We start from the raw sequence: 15822 nt of genomic DNA on the forward strand, positions 1-15822 counted from the left end.
ATATGGGTGGTTGTTATTTCCCAGAATTAAAAATCAGAAGGGAAACTTGAGAAATGTCTAGTGACTATGGTTCAGTTGAGAAAGCATAGGAGAAAGAGGTCAATAGGTTATCAGTAAATAGATGTATTCGTTATATCCATACACCACTTACAAGACATTTATAAGAACAACTGAATTCTAAGGAAAGCTTGTTGAAGGTTTCAAATAAGTGGCATTAATATTTAAAAGAACAAAAAATTTTAAATTTTATTTTTAACGGACAAGCAGTATGAAAAAATCGTGAATCCAGGCTGTAAAAAGCACTGAAGTTAAAACTAGAAAGAATAATATCATCAAACAATATAAAACAAGAAGCCACTTCCTAATAATTGTCAATAAATTTACAATTCCATATCTTTGTTAAAATCATATTTGAAATGAAATCATGTTACATTTTAAAATGCAGTGTTTTATGCAATTTTCAATAAATACTTCCTACCTCATTTATTAAGTTTATTTATTTCTTCAACTTTTAAATAAACTTTTCTATGACCTTTGGCACACACGTTCTATCTACCTATTTGTATTTTTCCTGATTTCTACTCTGGGCTATAATATAGGAAATAAATCAATAGATTTCATTTTGCCAAATGTCAATTTTTAAGTTTGGAGAACTCGTTATTAAATTCTCATCTGCTTACACTTCAGCACCCAGTGGATTTCATCTCTTTTCGTCCTTCAACTAATATGTATTATTTCTGCTTATGTCTTTCTAGACTTCCTTGCTTAGGGTTTACCACTCCTCTCTTTCTTTCTCTATACCCATTGGATTTATGCATACTTCTATGAAATGCTCATGAAAATATCACTTTCACTAATAAGTGAACTCATTCAGAGGAAGAACCTGGAGATACCTCAAGGCAAAGTTTGGAGTTTTAGGAACATTCTGGTTTAAGGCTACTGTATGAACTTTAGCGCCTGAAAGATGAATTTTAATTTTACTGTTCTTTATTAGTATAAAGAAACTAATATTTGTATGTATACTTTCATCTTTCCCATAGCAAATCACTTTCTCTATTTGCTTATTCTCTTGTCTCAATACCTCTGTTTGGTGATGATAAATTCTCTAGTTTTTCAATATCTCTTTAATCTCCCTCAATTAATTTTCTATTTTAAATTTCTGGGAGAGAAAACTGATTTGTCTCACTCTTTTGTTGTTGTTGTTGTTATGTCCCATTAGTTACAGGTCAGTGGGCTATCCATAGATGATATTCTTTGTAGTAGGTTACCACCCTTTATCCAATTAGAGTGCTTAGAATGGAGGCAGTATTGTACACTACAGAATATTGCTTTCTCGGTTACCACTGACTATTTCTTTGCCAATATTTTAAGGTAAAGGAAGTTTTACAGGCAATGAATGAAAACTCCTGTGAAACATGATCTAAAAGGTTTTATAAATATTGCTAATTTCCAAGATCCCACATCAGTGTTAATAATCTATTTTCAATTTCTAATCTTTAAAACAAAGATAACCTGCATGAATTTTATAGCGCCCCATGAGACGTCCCATTTTTGTGTCTTTGTATTCTTATCTCTAGCTCTAGGACAACTACTCAATCAGAGGTATTTTTTTAAGTTCTAGATGTTTCAGCTTCTTTGTCAGCAATGCTGAGTCATAAAGAATTAAACAAAATGGAGTAGTGTTGTAAATGCACACAAAAAAATCAATATTGCTGAATTGAGGAGAAGAAATCAATAAAGGAAGGTATGTTATTGTCAAACTTCTAAAAGGATTTTGCAAACAGTGGAGAGTAGACAAAATTCCTAAAACATATATCAGCTCAACTGTCCTTTAGTATATTACACTAAGGAAGTAGAAAAGGTAAATAAACAAACAAATGACATTGTGAATGTATATTAAGGAGATTAAATGTAAGCTAAAGAGCCCCAAGTGTGGTTTTTGAAAAAGATGGTTCTTAAAGACTAATATCTCTCTCAAAGTAGATTTATTTTTGTTAGTTGTTTGGTGTTGTTTGAGTGATGTATGTATTTTGTCTTTGTTCTTGACGTCTGAGAAAAGAACATTTTTATATGGATATATTATGCCCTTTTGTTCAATAAAAAATACCATGAGTCAAGATGTCCTTACACAGCTTAAGATGTCATATTAACTCTTGATAGATGCAGGCCTTCCAAGAAGCTGATACACTCTCATCAATACAAGATGTCAAATTCATGATAAATAGCCTTTTAAAAATGAGATTTGGCTTAAAAAAATTGATAAAGAGCCATAACATTTAACCATCATAAAAATGAATCTGCCTTGACATTTATTTCATAAATTAAGATGTTTTAAAGTTCTATGAGGCCAAAGGCTAATACTTAGTAATATAATTCCCCTGTTCTCTAGACACAATAAAACACCTGCTATCAAATTCCTAATACTAATGCTGCTTAGTATTTTACAGTGTTTTCTGTTTTTCAAAGAAATTTTTCAAATATACTTGGTTTTATCCTCACAGCAACCCTGTGACATAAGTAAAGACATACTGGGCCTATTTTACAGATGAAGAAATAGTGATGCAGAAAGAAATAAATGGTTTAACCAAAGTTACAAAACAAGTTGGGAATTGTAATTCCACTTACTGATTCTTCTAGAAGTGCTTTTCCTGTTCTTCTATACATATTCTCCATGGGAGGAATAACTGTCCTGCTTCCATATGGAATAATAAAAAGTAATTCAATTTAGAAATAAAGACTGCTACTGCACTGATGTCTAGACTAACAGACTATTATTGTATTGTCTGAGGCAATATTTAGGACAGCATAAGGAAATAAAAAATACCAATATGTTTCTAGCATTTTAGAAGGTACCACATACCTATTAAGTACAGTTGTTTAAATAGAGCATTAGTAGAATAGAATCCTGAAATGCCATAGATGGGTAGGAATACTGAGAGCAAACACTTATAGCACATTTACTGTGTGCCTAACATGGTTGTGTTTGATCCTATGAGTTATAAATTATGCATCATTTTTAATTTTACAGTAGAGGAAACTGAGTTATTGAAAGGTAATGATTTGTTCCAGACCACATAGCTCATTCATATTTTCAGTAGCAAATAACTATGAAAGGCAGTATTCAGTTTCTCAGTAAAGGTATGTTTCCCATGAAATGATCTGAATGATTTGCTAGAAAGTGGTAGTGAGTCAAGATTAAAATAGCCTGGTTATTTTACACAGGATGATATTTGGAGATACAAAAACATAGGAAGCTACAGCAAAGATGTTCTCTTATTCTGTCAATGAACCTTTTATGAAATGTAAGAAATGACGGCTGGATGTCAGAAAACTAACAAGAATTACTGAGCTAAATATGTGATTTTGATTAGAAAATATTAAAGTGCTCATCAGAAATGGTTTTTTATAAAAATGACTAAACATGCCAGTCAAATGTTATTTGTTATACTAAGACACTGCTGAACCTCAAAACAAAAATAATGACTCAACTGCCTAGACAAGTATTTGAATAAAAATCGTTCAGTTTTATATTGTAAAAATAAACTGTATACCTAATAATAATCATTTTTAAAGCATTAAACTAGGGTAGCAAGTTCAAGTACTCCTTTAGAGATGGAAAAACACATTAGTTTTGAGAGTGAAATCTAGAATCAGATCAGACTCCTTATCTTCTAAATCCAGTGTTTTCTCTCATGTTTCCCCCAAAGAGTGAGGATGTTATGAAGAAAATGTGTGAGGAAAAAATAATGTTTGAATTTGGGGAATATTTTTCTTGATTTTTTCTTCTATTCTTTCAGAAACACAAATCTATCATGAGCCAGTGACATGTTTTCTATATGTAATTTAAAACATGTTATGTTATAATTCAGTTTGTTTAATTGTATCATGAATTTTATTTGGTGGGTGAATTAATTACTTTTCTAACTTATTTATGATGTTTTCTACATATTTTATCATGATGTTTCCATTAGTCCCACTTTGGGATAACTTCCAAACTTCTGTAACTTTTGATAACTTTGTGCCTCAGCAACATTAGACTCACTTATATAAATTTAATTACTGTAAACCTTGGAAATTCTAAACCACATGCCATGGGGATTCAGGAGGCAGTCATGCAAAAAAATAGATTATTTTAAAGCAAATAGACTTTAGAACATTCCAGTCTACATTGTAACATTCAGCTCAGTTTGAAAAAAATATGTCAAATTCATAGTATCTATCATGCTTACTCTACAATGTTTGTTCCCAGTATCATTGCATTGTTACCTTAATAGTTACAAAAAAAATTGCAACATTTGACGTTTCGAATTCAGTAATAATTTACACTGAAACTGAAACATACATTACAAGTAAGTGTGCATTGAACATACTTGAGCAGAATGGATATATTAAAAGCATATGTTAAATGTACAACGTAAATATTTTATATTTTGTTTCAGATTGCTTTCAATTATAGAGCAACAGATTCATGCATAAGCTCATTTTATCATTTTCTACAGAACTATGAGGTATTATATATATCAGGATATATAATATATATTACATATAATTATATTTATATTATATATTATATAATTATTTTATATTATAAAATAGTATATGATTTTATATATTATATTTTATATAAATATAAATATATATTTTATATTAGCATATGATATATTATATGTTTTATGTTATATTAATATATAATATATACTTTTGTTGTACTTTATAATATATTTTATTATATATTATGTAACATATTATATATCCTTATTTATAAAATTAATATAAATAAATATGACTCATATTCCTAAACAACTACTACAATACTAGTTTCATTTAGCCTGTTAGGTATTACTTGCGTTTCAGTATTTTTATCACAACTTTTCATTGGTAATGGAAATAAAATTTTATGAAAATCAAATACTTTGCAGGAAAAGACTGTGTTGGTAGTTACCCACGCTAGACAGCTGAGGATATTTCTAAGATTAATTATTGTGCTTAGAAAAATCTAGAAATGCCAATCCAATATAGCATAGCCTGATATTAGCTTTACTTCAGTAGCCTTATTGATGTTTAATTTAGTGAAGCAATAAATTTATTTAAAAATGTGTTTCTGCCTGCATTTATTTCCAGCATCTGTTTTATGAAAATCTATTTAAAGAATTTTTAAAAATCACATAGTAAAGCATGCATTCGGTTGCACATTACCAATAATTTATAGGGAGGAAGATTACTTCAATAGTTGTTAAGACAAGAAAGACAGGCTAATTGCCACAAAACATGTCAATGTAATTGTTATTAATATTTCATATCCAATGTAAAAATAACTTGAACATAGACCATGCATATAAAATATAGTTACAATCTTTTTTGCAATGGTGCATATTTGAATACTACATTGCCAGCTTTTTCTTATTAAATTAGCATGATTTTAGTGACAAATAAAATGAAAGGGGGAGTGTGAATAAGAAAATATGTAAATACGTAGATGGGGATTATCGCTTCTTTTGCTTTAATACTATGTATTTATATTTTGTCTTGAATTAATTAGGAGAGCAAAGTGAATAGTGTGATTTGCTTAGAGGACAATGCTGCTACAAAAACCTGTTCCACTCCAAGGCCAACTGCAGTTTTGAGGTAAGTTATTAATAAATGAAATAAAAAGACAGAAGAGAACCTAATTTAAAAATTAAGAATAATAGGGAAAGAGGGAAATGTGTATACTTGAGTTCAATTGGTCAGCTTACCATTTGCCATAATCCTCTTGTCATACTTTACTAGTGTCCAGCAAATAAATGTATAGAATTAATTAACTCACAGATATTATTTTTTATCCTGATGCCCTTTCTGAACAACTCAAGAAGTAAAATCTCAAATACTTAGAAGGGAAGGTAGCGCTAGGGTGTAAGTTCTTAAGTGGATCATTTGTTTTTTATAAGTACAACTTTACACTATTTTATGAGAAACTTTTGTACCAAATTCATATCTAATTTTATTCAATCATAAATTGCAGGGATCATTACAGAAAAGTGTTTCTTATTAAAATCAATTCACTTTCTATTTTGAGGAAATTTTATTTTATTTGAATTAATGTATCAGTAGAGATTTTCATGAATTAAAAAGCAATTTAATGTTTCTTTTATCTACTTAGACTGAATAGTAAAATGTATTATATAAAGCCTTGCAACTTATTACTGACCATTGGTGTACCTGAAGTTATACTCCTCCACAGAAGTTTTGGTAATAATTCACAAGCGCGTAATGAGTAAGAATTGTTTCCTAGAAATAGACTGAGAGTTAGGCAACTGACATATTGATGGTAATGATTTAGTTAAGCTTGTCTTGCTTTATTGTATTAAAAGAAGGAAACCTTTAATACATGGCTCCTGGATAGAACTGCTTTTTACGTTTTCCTATGTACTTAGAAATACAAAGCAAAGTTTAAAAGTAACCCTAGAAAGCAACAGCAATGGAGTTAAAGTTTTAAAGATAAAGAAGATGAATATAGCAGAAGCCTATTTTGTAGGATCGGTCTACTTAATAAGGAGGAATTTGTCTAAAATACAAAAGTTTAAGTGGTGACTAGGTTTTGAAAGGGCTTATCAATTTTGACTGGTGGAAACTTAAATATTCACTTGTTACTTTCTAATATGTGAGTCACCTTTCATTTTAGTAATATTTATTAACTATCTGTTATGTACCACATTCTAATTAAGGCATTAGGATAAAACAGTAGACATAAAAATCCCAACTATCAAGGAGTATCCTATGAGGTAGACAGGGTACATGACTAAATTAAATAATGGTAACAATAATAATACAATATGATAACCAATGTTTCGGCCTAAGCACAAAGCACATATCAAATTATTTAACCTTCATACCAATACTATGAGGCAATTACTAATAGCATTTCTATCATATAAATATGGAAACTGAAATATTCTGCTAAGTAATTTCCCCAAATCACATCCTAGTAAAATACAGATTTGGTAAAGAGAAATATCACCACTGAAGGATACAGAGATAAGACATAAGTACATGAGAAGAGGTTCAACTCCAGTAGTTATTTACAGGAATGTAAAATGATACAGCTATTCTCAAAAACAACTTGGCAGTTTCTTAAAAACAAAACACGTAATTGGTGTAAAACCCAGCAATTGCACTCCTGGTAATTTATCCCAGAGAAATGAAAATCTGTACATGAATGTTGATAACAGCTTTATTAGTAATAGACAAAAACTGGAGACAACCCAGATGCTCTTCAACTGGTTAATTGTAAAAAAATTGTGACACATCCATACCATGAAATACTATTCGGCAATACAAAGAAACAAAGTAGTAATACAGCAACCTGGATAAAATCCCTGGTGAATTGCATTGAGTTACAAAGATCAATTCCATAGGGTTACTACTGCCTGATTTTGTTTACATAACGTTCATGAAATAACAAATTTATAATGATGGAGAACAGATTAGTGGTTTCTGGGATTTAAGAATGGTGTGGAATAGTAAGAAATAGGATGTGGTTATAAAGGGTAACGTGAGAGATCCTAGTTTTGATGGAGATGTTCTGTATCTTGACTATATCAATGACTATATCCTGGCACAGTGTTGCAATTAGGAGATATCAATTGAAGGATATATGTAATCTCTATTATTTTCTACAATTTAACACAAATATTACAATTTTCTCAGAATAAAAAGTTTAAAATAGCAAAAGGATATAAAATATGTACCATGTTAAACTAATCAAAAGTAAGTCTGAAGAGTTTTTTTAATGAATGTCAGAAACTTAATTTAATAGTCAAAAAAATGTTACCAGGGATAGAGAGTGTCATTTCATGAACATAAAATGGCTCATTCATCAAAAGGGCATAAAAATTCTAAACATTGATATACCTAATGGCATAATGTTAACAATATAAAGAAAAACTTTTGAAATTAAAAGGAGAAAAAAACACATCAAAATCATTGTCAGTGATTTCAACACTCTCCTCTGATAAAACAGGTACACAGAACTGATAAAACAGGTAGACAGAAAATCAGTAAGACTATAGAAAATTCAATCATTACTCTAAAAACAACAAACATGTCTATTGATACTTAAAAATCATACCACCTAACAACAGAATACAACAGTAGAATACAGATTATTTTCCCATTATTTTCAAATGCCTTCATAATATTTATCAAGATAGAACATCTTCTTGGACATAAAACAAGACTACATAAACATAAAAGGATTCAAGTGATGCAATAATTAGAAATCAAGAAGAGAAAGATAACTAAAAGAGCTCTAAATATTTGGAATTTAAATAAACTTTTAAATATAGGTCAAAGATGAAATTAAATCTAAATATCTAAGGTAATTTGAACTAAATATAAAAACACAACATGTCAAATTTTGTGGAATACCACTAGATCACTATTTAGAGCTGTATGTAGAGCAGTAAATACCCAATAATACATAAAAAGAAAGGTCTTAAATCAGTGCGTAGTACTGACATAAATATACAAATAAAAAAGATAAACAGAAGAGAACAGAGAGTCCACAAACAGATCCACACATATATGAACAACTGATTTATAACTCAGGTAAAAAAAAAAAAAAACAATTCAGTGGAGATTGGATTTTGTTTTCAAGAAATAATGACAGAAATCAATTATTTACCCACAAGCGTAAAAATAAAATACCTCACACCATTGATTAAAATTAACTAAAAAATCATAGACCTACATATAAAACCTAAAATTACATCTAGAAGAACACACAGGAAAATAACCTCTGTAACCTTAAAATAAGAACTATTTTTGATACAATATATAAGTGTGATTCATATTAGAACAAATGGATAAATTTATCTTCAATTTCATCCTTAAAGTTAGGAGAATAAAAGGCCAGCCACAGAGCAACAAAAACTATTTCTACTATATATATCTGGTGAAGGAATAATAATTAGAATATGTCTGGAACTCTTAAAATTCATTGATAGTAAGCTAACAACCCAATTAAAGGACAAGGGCAAAAAACTTGAACAGCCACATTACCAGAGTAGGTGTACTTATTTGATGGCAAAGAAGCACGTGAAAAGACATAAGTACACATTAGTTATTAGAACAAGGCAAATGACAACCACAATGAGATACCATTATAACGACTACACATCTATTAAAATGGCTAAAATTAAAGAGGCTGACTATACCAATGGTTGACAAGGGTGTGGAATGACGGAAACTCAAACATTGCTGCCAGGTATGTAAAAAGGAACAACAAATTTGGGAAACAGTTTGACAGTTTCTTAAAAAGTTAACCCTACACCTGCCATATGATTCACATACACCATACCAAATACTTATTACAAACATATTACTGTAATCATAATTTCATTTCTCTGAAATAATTATTTAGTATGGAATATGTAAATCATAAGGTTTATTCATAATTGTCTTGAAGACAACTCAAATGTTTATTAACAATTGAAACTGTGGTACATTCATGAAATCAAAAGCTACCCAGCACAAACTTAAAAAAGAATAAAATATTGATACAAACTACAACATGGATGAACCTGAAAAGAGTTATGTTGAGTGAAGTAATCCAGACAAAAAAGACAACATACTGTGTGATTTCATTATGTAATATTCTAGTAACCTCAAACTAATCTGTATTGCCAGAAAGTTGGTCAGTGGTTTTCTGGAGATGAAAGCGAGTGTAGGAAAAAGTGAGAAAGAGAGATTAAAAAGAGGCAAGAAGAAAATATCAAAAATATATAAAAAATCCAAACAACTCAACAGTAAGAAAACACATAACCAACTTTTTAAATGGGCAAAGGAAATAAATATTTTTCAAAAGACTACATGGAAATGATTGACAGGTATATGAGAAAAATATTCATCATCACTAATCATCAGGGAAATGCAAGTTGAAACAATAGTGAAATGTCACCGCACAGCTGTTAGAATGGCTACTATCAAAAAGATTTTAAAAATAAACACTGGCATGGATGTGGAGCCCTTGTATACTGTTAGTGGGAAAGTAAGTCAGTAAAGCCATTATAGAAAATATTATGAAGATTTCTCAAAAAATTAATATCATCCGGCAATTCACCACTGCTGGTTATATCGAAAGATATGAACTCAGTATGTCAACAAGATATCTGTACTCCCATGTTCATTGCAGCATTATTCACAATAGCCAAGACATGAAATCACTCTGTGTCTATCAATGGATGAGGTATGAAGTACACACACATACACACACACCCACACACACACAATACTATTCTGCTTTTAAAAAGCTTTTTATATTTGTCCATGTCATTTACAACAACATAGACAAATATAGAGGAAATTATGCTAAGTAAAATAAGACACAGAAAGAGAAATACTGTAAAATCTAACTTATACAGAGGATCTAAAACAGTCAAACTTGTAGAAGCAGAGTAGACAAATGGTTACTAGAGGCTGGGGAATGAAAGAACTGGGGAGATGTTGGTCAAAGGATACAAAACTTCAGTTCAACAGAAGGAATAGATTCATGAGGTCTTTTGTACATCATGGAGATGATTATTAAAAACAATATATTGTCAATCTAAAACTTTCTAAGAGAGTATATTTTAAGTGTTCTCACCACAAAAAAATCATAAGTATAGGAGGTACTGTATATGTTAATTAGCTTGATTTCATAAGCCATTCTACAGTATATACATTTATCAAAACATGTTGTCTACCAAAAATATATAGAATTTTTTATTGGTGAATTTTTTTAAATAAAAAGAATAGGCAAGAGGAATCTTTTTCCTTATCTTTATTGTGTAATTGTTTCATATATATTTATATATTTTAAAACTTGTAAATTGTACACTTGAAATGCATGCAATTTGTTGCACATTAATTATGTATTCATAAATCAGTTAACAAGACTGATCTAGTTTTAGACACATTTTCTAAAAATGAAATAGGCATTTTGAATGTAGACATTTTTTTCTTTCACTGTGCTTTATTGAGAAACATATAAAGCCTAAATTGTAAAGCGTATTTTTCAAAGGGAATTCAGGTGTACGTTCCCTTGCTTCCAGTAGCTTGAATGTTTAAACATCCCAGAACAGATGGCATTAAGCTCTCTGAATTGAAACCTCTAGAGCTAAAACTCCTCAAATTTTCTTGATCTGAAGGTCAGCATTGTGTACTTACATCTCTTCTTGTTTGTCTTATGCTCATTTGTTATACCTCAGTTCTCATTTTTTTAACTTCTGTATGAACTATTTAATTTTGCATGATAATAATTAAGCCAGCCTTTATTGTTCTTTACTTCTGGCTTACTTTTAACCTCAGTCACATTCAATTTTGCACAAGTCATAAAATCAATCATGTCATAAAACAAAATAATTTTAACATAGTAATGCATCAATTTGGAAATGTGGGAAAGTGTTAGGTTTCTGAACTGTCAAAATTTCTGGTTTTCTTACTTTAACATTATATTCATTTAAGTTTATTACTTGAGTAAAATTTTTATTATTTGTAATTGAGGTAAACACATTATTTCCTTATAGCATAAGTAATCTTTTTATTATAGTGTTTGCTGAGATTATATGGTAGGCATCTTTCTTTGTTTGTGTTGCTATAAAGGAATAATACTTGAGGCTGCGTAATTTATAAAGAAGAGAGGTTTATTTGGCTCATATTTCTACTGGCTGTACAAAAAAGCATGGCACTGATATCTGCTTGTGCTGAGTGACACAGGCTACTTCCACTCATGGCAGAAGGCAAAAAGGAGCATGTGTGTGCACAGATTACATGGCAAGAGAGGAAACAAAAGTTAGAGTAAAGGTTCCAGCCTGTTTTTAACAACCAGCTCTAATGGGAACTAACAGAGCAAGAACTGACTCATACCCATTCCAGGGAGCGCATTAATCTACCCATAAGGGATCCATTCCCACGACCTAAACAACTCCTATGAGGCCCCAACTGCAACACTGGAAATCAAATTTCAACTTGAGGTTTGAGGGAACCTTACAGCTACAGCAGTAAGAATTTATATTTTAGGTAACTCATATTTCAAATAGTTTTCACAGAATCAAGTGCAAATCATTATATATGTACCATGATACATACAGCTTTATAATGAAGAGAGAAGCGTGACAGAAGTAAAAGTCTATAGTAACTTTATAAACAAGATAATATTTGACATTAATGTTTTCTGAACGATATCAATGCAGGTCTAAAGGAATGCAAGCTGTAATATTCTACTTAAATATATTTATAAGCAATAATTTTATTTTGTGAATTTTGTAAAATTTTGTATTTAAAATTATTTGACATTCCTAGTATTTGTACAATATCATGGTTTTTAACCTTGTCCTTATTTATAAATTATTTAGTTCAGTAAAATTTTCTGACTTTGACTTACTTCCATCTAAAAATCCTCTAGATAAACATGCATAATAAAAAGGTTAACTAAGACTATCAACTTGAGGTTTTTTTTCACTTTATTTTTTTTTCATTATTATACTTTAAGTTCTAGGGTACATGTGCACAACAGGCAGTTTGTTACATATGTATACATGTGTCATGTTGGTGTGTTGCACCCATTAACTCGTTATTTACATTAGGTATTTCTCCTAATGCTATCCCTCCCAACTCCCCACACCCCACCACAGGCACCAGTCTGTGATGTTCCCTGCCCTGTGTCCAAGTGTTCTCATTGTTCAATTTCCACCTATGAGTGAGAACATGCGGTGTTTGGTTTTCTGTCCTTGCGATAGTTTTCTCAGAATGATGGTTCCCAGCTTCATCCATGTCGCTACAAAGGACATGAACTCATCCTTTTTTATGGCTGTATAGTATTCCGTGGTGTATATGTGCCACATTTTCTTAATCCAGTCTATCATTGATGGACATTTGGGTTGGTTCCAAATCTTTGCTATTGAGAATAGTGCCGCAGTAAACATACGTGTGCATGTGTCTTTATAGCAGCATGATTTATAATCCTTTGGGTATATACCCAGTAGTGGGATCGCTGGGTCAAATGGTAATTCTAGTTCTAGATCCTTGAGGGATCGCCACACTGTCTTCCACAATGGTTGAACTAGTTTACAGTCCCACCAACAGTGTAAAAGTGTTCCTATTTCTCCACACCCTCTCCAGCACCTGTTGTTTCCTGACTTTTTAATGATTACCATTCTAACTGGTGTGAGATGGTATCTCATTGTGGTTTTGATTTGCATTTCTCTGATGGCCAGTGATCATGAGCATTTTTTCATGTGTCTGGCTGCATAAACGTCTTCTTTTGAGAAGTGTCTGTTCATATCCTTCACCCACTTTTAGATGGAGTTGTTTGATTTTTTCTTGTAAATTTTGTTTCAGTTTCTTGTAGATTCTGAATATTAGCCCTTTGTCAGATGGGTAGATCGCAAAAATTTTCTCCCATTTTTTAGGTTGCCTGTTCACTCTGATGGTAGTTTCTTTTGCTGTGCAGAAGCTCTTTAGTTTAATTAGATCCCATTTGTCAATTTTGGCTTTTGTTGCCATTGTTTTTGATGTTTTAGTCATGAAGTCCTTGCCCATGCCTATGTCCTGAATGGCATTGCCTAGGTATTCTTCTAGGGTTTTTATGGTTTTAGGTCTAACATGTAAGTCTTTAATCCGTCTTGAATTAATGTTAGTATAAGGTGTAAGGAAGGGATCCAGTTTCAGCTGTCTACATCTGGCTAGCCAGTTCTCCCAGCACCATTTATTAAATAGGGAATCCTTTCCCCATTTCTTGTTTGTTTCTTTCTTTCTTTCTGATTTTTTGAAGATCAGATGGTTGTAGATGTGTGGTATTATTTCTGAGGGCTCTGTTCTGTTCCATTGGTCTATATCTCTGTTTTGGTACCAGTACCATGCTTTTTTGGTTACTGTAGCCTTGCAGTATAGTTTGAAGTCAGGTAGCATGATGCCTCCAGCTTTGTTCTTTCGGCTTAGGATTATCTAGGCATTGTGGGCTCATTTTTGGTTCCATATGAACTTTAAAGTAGTTTTTTCCAATTCTGTGAAGAAAGTCATTGGTAGCTTGATGGGGATGGCATTGAATCTATAAATTACCTTGGGCAGTATGGCCATTTTTATGATATTGATTCTTCCTACCCATTAGCATGGAATGTTCTTCCAGTTGTTTGTGTCCTCTTTTATTTCCTTGAGCAGTGGTTTGCTGTTCTCCTTGAAGAGGTCCTTCACATCCCTTGTAAGTTGGATTCCTAGGTATTTTATTCTCTTTGAAGCAATTGTGAATGGGAGTTCACTCATGATTTGGCTCTCTGTTTGTCTGTTATTGGTGTATAGGAATGCTTGTAATTTTTGCACATTGATTTTGTATCCTGAGAATTTGCTGAAGTTGCTTATCAGCTTAAGGAGATTTTGGGCTGAGACAATGGGGTTTTCTAAATATATAATCATGTCACCTGCAAACAGGGACAATTTGACTTCCTCTTTTCCTAATTGAATACCCTTTATTTCTTTCTCCTGCCTGATTGCCCTGGCCAGAATTTCCAACACTATGTTGAATAGGAGTGGTGAGAGAGGGAATCCCTGTCTTGTGCCAGTTTTCAAAGGGAATGCTTCCAGTTTTTGCCCATTAAGCATGGTATAGGCTGTGGGTTTGTCATAAATAGCTCTTATTATTTTGAGATACGTCCCATCAATACCTAGTTTGTTGAAAGTTTTTAGCATGAAGGGCTGTTGAATTTTGTTGCAGGCCTTTTCTACACCTATTGAGATAACCATGTGGTTGTTGTCTTTGGTTCTGTTTATATGCTGGATTAAGTTTATTGATTTGCATGGGTTGAACCAGCCTTGCATCCCAGGGATGAAGCCCACTTGATCATGGTGGATAAGCTTTATGTTGTGCTGCTGGGATTTGGTTTGCCAGTATTTTATTGAGGATTTTTGCATCGATGTTCATCAGGGATATTGGTCTAAAATTCTCTCTTTTTTGTTGTGTCTCTGCCAGGCTTTGGTATCAGGATGATGCTGGCCTCATAAAATGAGTTAGGGAGGATTCCCTCTTTTTCTGTTGATTGTAAAAGTTTCACAAGGAATGGTACCACCTCCTCCTTGTACCTCTGGTAGAATTCGGCTGTGAATCCATCTGGTCCTGAACTCTTTTTGGTTGGTGGGCTATTAATTATTGCCTAAATTTCAGAGCCTGTTATTGGTCTATTCAGGGATTCAACTTCTTCCTGGTTTAGTCTTGGGAGGATGTATGTGTCCAGGAATTTATCCATTTCTTCTAGATTTTCTAGTTTATTTGCGTAGAGGTGTTTATAGTATTATCTGATGGTAGTTTGTATTTCTGTGGGATCGGTGGTGATATCCCCTTTATCATTTTTTATTGTGTCTATTTGATTCTTCTCTCTTTTCTTCTTTATTAGTCTTGCTAGTGGTCTATCAATTTTGTTGATCTTTTCAAAAAACCAGCTCCTGGATTCATTGATTTTTTGAAGGGTTTTTTGTGTTTCTATTTCCTTCAGTTCTTCTCTGATCTTACTTATTTCTTGCCTTCTGCTAGCTTTTGAATGTGTTTGCTCTTGCTTTTCTAGTTCTTTTAATTGTGATGGTAGGGTGTCAATTTTAGATCTTTCCTGCTTTCTCTTGTGGGCATTTAGTGCTATAATTTTCCCTCTACACACTGCTTTAAGTGTGTCCCAGAGATTCTGGTATGTTGTGTCTTTGTTCTCATTGGTTTCAAAGAACATCTTCATTTCTGCCTTCATTTCATTATATACCCAGTAGTCATTCAGGAGCAGGTTGTTCAGTTTCCAGGTAGTTGAGTGGTTTTGAGTGAGTTTCTTA

At 31.9% G+C, this 15822-nt stretch overlaps 1 long non-coding RNA gene across 1 annotated transcript in view; it reads left to right on the forward strand.

Annotated features, from left to right (window-relative positions):
• The window catches only part of NRXN1-DT (NRXN1 divergent transcript), a 1375317-nt gene that overhangs the window by 723949 nt on the left and 635546 nt on the right, over positions 1–15822 (forward strand). The window contains exon 6 of the long non-coding RNA NR_135237.1: positions 5540–5625. This is a non-coding gene — a long non-coding RNA (NRXN1 divergent transcript). The remainder of the gene's footprint in view (positions 1–5539; positions 5626–15822) is intronic.

The sequence above is a fragment of the Homo sapiens genome, chromosome 2, assembly GCF_000001405.40.
Source record: "Homo sapiens chromosome 2, GRCh38.p14 Primary Assembly".
In the NCBI taxonomy this organism is placed as follows: domain Eukaryota; kingdom Metazoa; phylum Chordata; class Mammalia; order Primates; family Hominidae; genus Homo; species Homo sapiens.